Source organism: Homo sapiens, chromosome 1 (genome assembly GCF_000001405.40).
Source record: "Homo sapiens chromosome 1, GRCh38.p14 Primary Assembly".
NCBI lineage: Eukaryota > Metazoa > Chordata > Mammalia > Primates > Hominidae > Homo > Homo sapiens.
In genome coordinates this window covers 165535422-165542068 of record NC_000001.11, presented here as the reverse complement: position 1 = coordinate 165542068, position 6647 = coordinate 165535422, and the positions used below count along the sequence as shown (strand labels likewise).

At 43.7% G+C, this 6647-nt stretch overlaps 2 long non-coding RNA genes across 2 annotated transcripts in view; one reads left to right on the top strand and one right to left on the bottom strand.

Annotated features, from left to right (window-relative positions):
• Nucleotides 1-6647, top strand: part of LRRC52-AS1 (LRRC52 antisense RNA 1) — a 105314-nt gene that overhangs the window by 40087 nt on the left and 58580 nt on the right. The window lies entirely within an intron of this gene.
• Nucleotides 6154-6538, bottom strand: LOC124904448 (uncharacterized). The gene is made up of 2 exons (XR_007066707.1): nucleotides 6487-6538; nucleotides 6154-6249 (listed from the first exon to the last, which is right to left on the bottom strand). It is a non-coding gene; the product is annotated as an uncharacterized LOC124904448 (long non-coding RNA).

Here is a 6647-nt window from a genome sequence, read left to right as displayed (position 1 = left end):
AGTTTCAGCTTTGCCAGGTTAGACCACATCTCTAAAGTGTGTACCTCATTTTGAGACTGAATAAATATATGTTCGATAAAGAAGAAGCAGACTAGACAAAGAAAAGAGAATGTAGCATTGCTTGAATTACCTGATTTCAGAACCTTAAATAAATTTTGTTTTCAAAGAACAACTTGTGAAACTATTATTTCAGAAATCCTGCTTTGGGAAGTCCTAGACTAGGCTGTTTGTTCTTGGTTGAGGTGCTTAATTTCTCTGGGCTTTATTTCTGTCATCTACATATTGAGGGAAATGAAGTAGATAATTTCCAAGTGTCTTTAGGACTTCCAAATTCCTTCATAATGGAAAGGTTTCAGGCATCACCCAGCAAACCAGTAGAGGCTGGAGTGCAATGGCACGATCTTGGCTCACTGCAACCTCTGCCTCCCAGGTTCAAGCTATTCTTCTTGCTCAGCCTCCCAAGTAGCTGGGATTACAGGCCCCCACCACCATGCCCAGCTAATTTTTTTTGGTATTTTTAGTAGAGTGCAGTGGTGTTATCTTGACTCACTGCAACCTCTGCCTCCCAGGTTCAAGTGATTCTCCTGCCTCAGCCCCCCGAGTAGCTGGGATTACAGATGTGCGCCACCACACCCAGCTAATTTTTGTATTTTTAGTAGGGACAGGGTTTCACCATGTTGGCCAGGCTGATCTCAAATTCCTGACCTCGTGATCTACCCGCCTCGGCCTCCCAAAGTGCTGGGATTACAGGCGTGAGCCACTATGCCCGGCCGCCTTTCTACTCCTTCTAATCACACCATATAGTCCCACCTATCATGTGGCTGCAAAAAGGACAATCTCTCTACCCAGTGAGCGGCTCATGCAGCTTCAGATGCAGCATGGTCGCCCTTCGTGTGTGTGGCTGTTTTATTAGCCTGCCCCTGCCCCTTGGATAGCTGGTGTGCCCATCCTTCCAGGAGGACAGGTGAAGCATCAAGTGAGCACTTGGAGAGGCCCCTCCTGTCTCATACAATCGCGCTAGCTGACTCTGCTCTCAGGCAGGCTCCTATTTTTAGCTGTATCTGATGGAGGCACTGTCTTCCCAGCTTAATGATCCCTCTCAGGTGCCAGTGTGCCTCCAAACAGCTCTCTGGTGATCCAAAGGACAGGTGGGCACAGGCCCTGATATCATACAAAGAAGAGGCTGGGTGATATAGGGCAAAGTGAACACAATTGAGAAGCTGAGGCAGTATGACATCGTGCCCTCTCAAAGCCCTGATTTTCTTTCTGTAAAACAAGACAGGACGCTCTCCAAAGGCTTTCCCAGTTTTAAAGTTCCATCAAACTTCAGTTGTGAAGGGAGAGAACAGATGATTGAAGCGTCAAAGCCCAAGCAACTAAGACAGAGTCAAGCGATTACAAAGCAGACCATGAATGTTAGCTAGTAAATAGTCCACTCAGCTGTCTGGGTACAAGTGCTAAGGGATATTTAATTTTGGCATGCTTTTATTTTCTCAGGAGAAAAATAGCAGAAGGAAGTGCACATGCCATTTTATTCCATTGAAACTGCCAATGTGCTCAACTTAGGACTTACATGGGGTTAGCAACGTAGGGGCACACAAGTCAGTACTTTGTTAAACTGCTCCCCAGGCAGGGAATGTTGTGGGTTCAGGTCTAAAGAATGTAACAGTCTCAAGGACTTTGGTGTAGGAGCCACTTATGGTATCCAGTTCACTCCAGACTTTTGACACTGCCTGGGCCCTCTTCAGCAAACTCATCTCTCAGCAGGTGTGGGGCTTGGGGACAAAAAGTTCAGCCTGAAAGTGGAAAAAGAGTTCCAAAACATGCCGGGAAGGCTGAGGCCTAAGGGCTGAATATGTGTGTATCTGTCTATTCATGAGCCTTGGTTCTGTTTGCTGTGCCAGCTGGTAGAAACTATTTTTGTCTTTTCCCTTCAGGCTGCCGGAGTCTCCACTAGGGAGATTGGACTCTAACAGAGTAAAGGCCAGAGGGCCAGAGGAAATCACTCCCATTTGTTGCATTCCCCAGGGATATCTTTGATTTCCAGGCTTCATCCGCATTCTATACTTCTGCAGGATTCACTGTCCAGAGGAATCCAAGGGGAAGCCTGTAAATTGTATACCCTTTTTAGGGGCAGAATTAGATCATGTTTTCAGCTTATAGCAAATCAATAAACTGTTGCCCATGGCTAAGATTATGTGTAGCAGTCCTTATGCCTGAAACTTGATTTGAGACTGCCAATAATGGTGGCTGTCTAAGCCCAGTTGATTTGGGAAGAGAATATGGACCCTTTATAGGAGACTTGTAGATTTCAGAATGGGAGAGAAAACTGTGGCACAGTGTGAGCTTTGTAGTGAGAAGATTCCTCTGTGGGTGGCTTTGGGCACACATTTTAGCTTCTGTGGGCATTGGTTTTCTCTTTGGTAAAATAGAGATGATGAATATTGCTTTTCCAGTGTTGTTACATAGATTGCCTGTGATTTAAGGAAACACGATAGCCACTATTTACTATTTACCCTGTGTCAAGAATGTGATCCTCCCAGCAACGCAATGAGTCATATTGCATGACCCTCATCTTATGAATGAAGAAACAGAAGCTCCCAGAGGTGCCACTCGCCCGTGGTCACAGAGCTGGTGAGTGACAAAGGCTGTATTGGAACAGGAAATTTTACTACTGGGCACAAGCTCTAACTACTGTACAGCATCAGTGCCTCAAAATGCTAATTGTTTTCATCAGCTCCATGGAATACATTGTCCCTCTCTAGCCCTAAATGGTGCCTTGACTTCAGACCAGATCAAACTACTGTTTTTAATGTGCTCTATTTATGCTTTTGGTTCCCTTGTCTTTCAGAAGGCTTATGACATGTTTCAGGCTTTAAGTTCTTATATTAACCGTTGAGATTAAGGTTAATGTATATATTATATATATACACACATATATGTACACACATATATATATATATAAATACACACACACACACACACACACACACACACACACACACACACATATATATATATTTTTTTTCTTTTTCCGGGTAAGGAAACTAAGTGGAAAAACAATTTGCCTAAGCTTACTCAGAAAATGAGTAAATATCTAGGTACCTAGGCTGGTGAGAATGTAGCTGGATAGAACATAGATTTCCTAATGTTTTTGAAAGGCAATTTCTTTTCTGGCTGGGGTGGCTAACAAAGAGATGAATGGAATGATGCGATGAGGGCTATCTCATCACAATATTCCTGAAAGGACAAAAGGATGAAAGGATGACTTCCATAGGTAAGCTCTTCCTAGCACTTCAATTCCTGGACACACTGAGAAAGTTACCTTTAAGACTTGGCCATTGTTCCAGTGATACCAAGTTAAAGAAAAGCTGAGTGGTCAGCTTTTGGATCTATACTTTCGCTTTTGTTGCCAGACATGCTGCCATTTGAACTCTTTACCACAGGATCCTCCATGATGACAGATGTGGCAAAGGCATCCCTCCCCCACCTCTTCCTGGTGTCCTTAGATTAGTCTAAATATCAGAGGCAGCTGGGTGCAGTGGCTCACGCCTGTAATCCCAGCACTTTGAGAGGCTGAGGTGGATGGATTGCTTGAGCCCAGGAATTCTAGACCAGCCTGGGAAACATGGCAAAACCCTGTCTCTACGAAAAATACAAAATTAGTCAAGTGTGGTGGCACACAACTGTAGTCCCAGCTACTCCAGAGGCTGAGGTGGGAGAATCACCTGAGCCTGGGAAGTTGAGGCTGCAATGAGCTGTGACTATGCTACTGCATTCCAGCCTGGGTGATGGAGTGAGGCCCTGTCTCAAAGAAAAATAAAATACAAATCAGAGACAGTATTGCTAATCTGTCATGGGGCTTCAATAGCTTCAGCTCCCTAGATCTTGCTATCTTCCTTCTTGGAAAGCCTGTTTCAAATGTCTCTACTCCCCAAATTGTAGAGGGTGAAAGGTCTAAAAAATGTCTATGTGAAGTCTTGATCCACGCGGCTTGCTGCGTCACTTGGCCACTTGCCTTCAACCCCGTTTTCCCAGCTTAGAGCCACCACTCTTCTGTGCAGAAACAGGCTACGATGGGTTCTCTCTGAGATAGGTTCTTTTGCTGTTGCCCTAGTAACAGAATTATTAAACCAAGTTCCAGCCTCGAGAGTATTTGTGCCTGGTGAGGTAATGTCTGTCGCATCCAGCCTTTCTTTTTGTTCCCACTCCCACTCCCTTGCTTCAGGCCCTCTGTACCTCACATCTTGACTGATGGCATTGGTATCCTCCCTGGCCTCTGTGTTTCCAGTCCGCTCTCACCGATGGGGCTGCCCCTCACTCAGCAACACTCTTTCTCAGGTTCAGACACTCTTCCTTGGTCGAATTCCCTATCAGCCTGACATTCAAAGCTCTCCACGATTGTTCCGAAATACAACCCACTGTGTGCCTGTGCTTTAGCAGAGCAGGATGTGGCCCAAGGGTGGTGACGGGGTAGAGCCAAGACGAATTGGAAAGAGGAAACTGTAGGGCTTATTGAGCAACCTGTTTGTTGGGAGGCTATGTAATATAGTGTTTAAGTGCATGGGTTTTGACTCAGACTGTCTATAAAATCTTCCTGCTCTCACTTAATAGCTGTGGAACCTTAGGAAAGTTTCATAACCTCTCTAAGTTGCACCTTCTCCAAATGCAAAATAGAGATAATGACAGTACCTTCCTCATAAAGGTTTTCTTCTGCCAAATTAAAGAAGGTCATCTTCTAAAGTGCTTGGCTTGGCATCTTCAAACTTAGAAAGGCACCAGAAATGTTAGGTGTGATGATGATGATAGTAGAGGAAGGTGGAAGGGTGGTGGTTTGAGAAATGGAACTGAGAATGGCTCCTGATTTTGGTGAGTGGGTGGAAATCATGTCAATAGAGAATTCAGGCACAGAATGAACAGGTTTTTGAGAAGAGATAATGATTTCATTTTTGGGCTTATTGACTTTGATCATCATAGCTCACTTTTATTGATTCTCACTGAGTGCCAGGCACTACACTAAGCATTTTGCATATATTGTCTCTTAGTAATTCTCACAACAGTTCCTTGCAGTAAAGGTTATCAACCCATGCAAACTTCAGTAACCAGCCCACAGTTATTAACTTGCCCATAACTTGTCCACAGTTATAAAGGTGTAGAGCTGGGATTTGAACCCAAGACTTTTGTGTCTCCAGAGGCGGCACACTTTACCACTATATACACTGCCTCTTGAATATCTTTACTATGAATATTAAATTAATCTCTTTTTCATGTTTTTAGTGCTAAGATGGTCTTTGGGGGAACATAATGGTCCACGCTGCCTCTTGCCTAGGTTGTGTTTTGTCCTCTTGTTTGCAGTCCCCTTGTATAAATTTGACCCCCAGACTCCAGGATTTCTTTTATGACATGTGCCTTCCTGAGTTTGTGCTTTCCCCCTGGATGGGATCTTTGATCTTGAAGTGAATTAGTGTCTCTAAGCATCAGTTTCCTCTTCTGAACAATGCAGTTGTAGAATTGTAGTAAATGTCAAGAGACAGATGGAGTTGATTGAGGAGAAAGGCTGTTTCTGATTTCTGTTAGCATTCATGGTACCCGGGCCAGTTCTGGGCATATATCAGGTGCTCTCTGATCATTCAATGAATAGATGACCAACTCAATACATATGCTGGAGTATATCATGAGGGCTTGCCCCTTTTGTTTGACTAGTGGCACTGCTTCCTTTTTCAATTGCCCTGCTGTCCCAGGTGATTACCCCAACTTAATGTGGTTTTTTTGGGTTGACTTTTAAAGAACGTTTGGAGTCATGTACACCACAATGGTAAACTGGGTTATGATATTAGTGTTGGGTGGTAGGCACTGCCTACATATGTGGTGGGGAATGAGGAGGTGTGGAGGTACATGGGGTGGACTTGATCATATTTCCTTACTTGACTTTCTTTGTAGTGAAGAAAGATGCTCTAAGAACCCAAGGGACATGTATTTAGCTCCAGTTGACGGAACCCAGGGCACAGTAAATTGTTTTTTAACAGACGTTTTCTGTTATTTTAATAACAATGCTTTAACGTGGCAACTTTCTAAGTATTTTTTCCCTATCATTTCAGGTACTTACACTTTCAATAACCTGCATATGGATTTCAACGCTATTTAATTAAGCTCTAAACCTATAAAAATGCACATTTAATACTCAGAGTAAACCCTTGCCTTGTTCTTTCTGAAGGTAAACAGAGGAGATATCTTCTTGAGCTCAGCGTTCTGAGATAATTACGATTAGTTGCCATAGAGAGAAAGAGAGAGAGAGAAACACATTAAAATGTATCTTGCTTTCTGTGTTTAGGAAATTCATTTAATGAAATATTGAGAGCCACCAAATCTACCCAGGCCCAGATACCTATTAATCTGTTAGCCACTTGGGCTCCAGAGGGATCTTTCTTTGCCAGGAAAGCTTTTTGATTGCTCTACTCCTGTGCTCAGAAACTTTTAATGGCTCACCATTTTCCTGTGTGCAGATGGAGTTCAATCTTCTTAACATGTGAGATTCTAGGCCTGTTAGGGTCTGGACCCAACTGTCCTTCTCAATCTCATTTGTTACCACCTGGGTAGTAACACAGGGGCTTGTTGGCTCTGCTGGCACTGACGGTGGTATCCCAAGC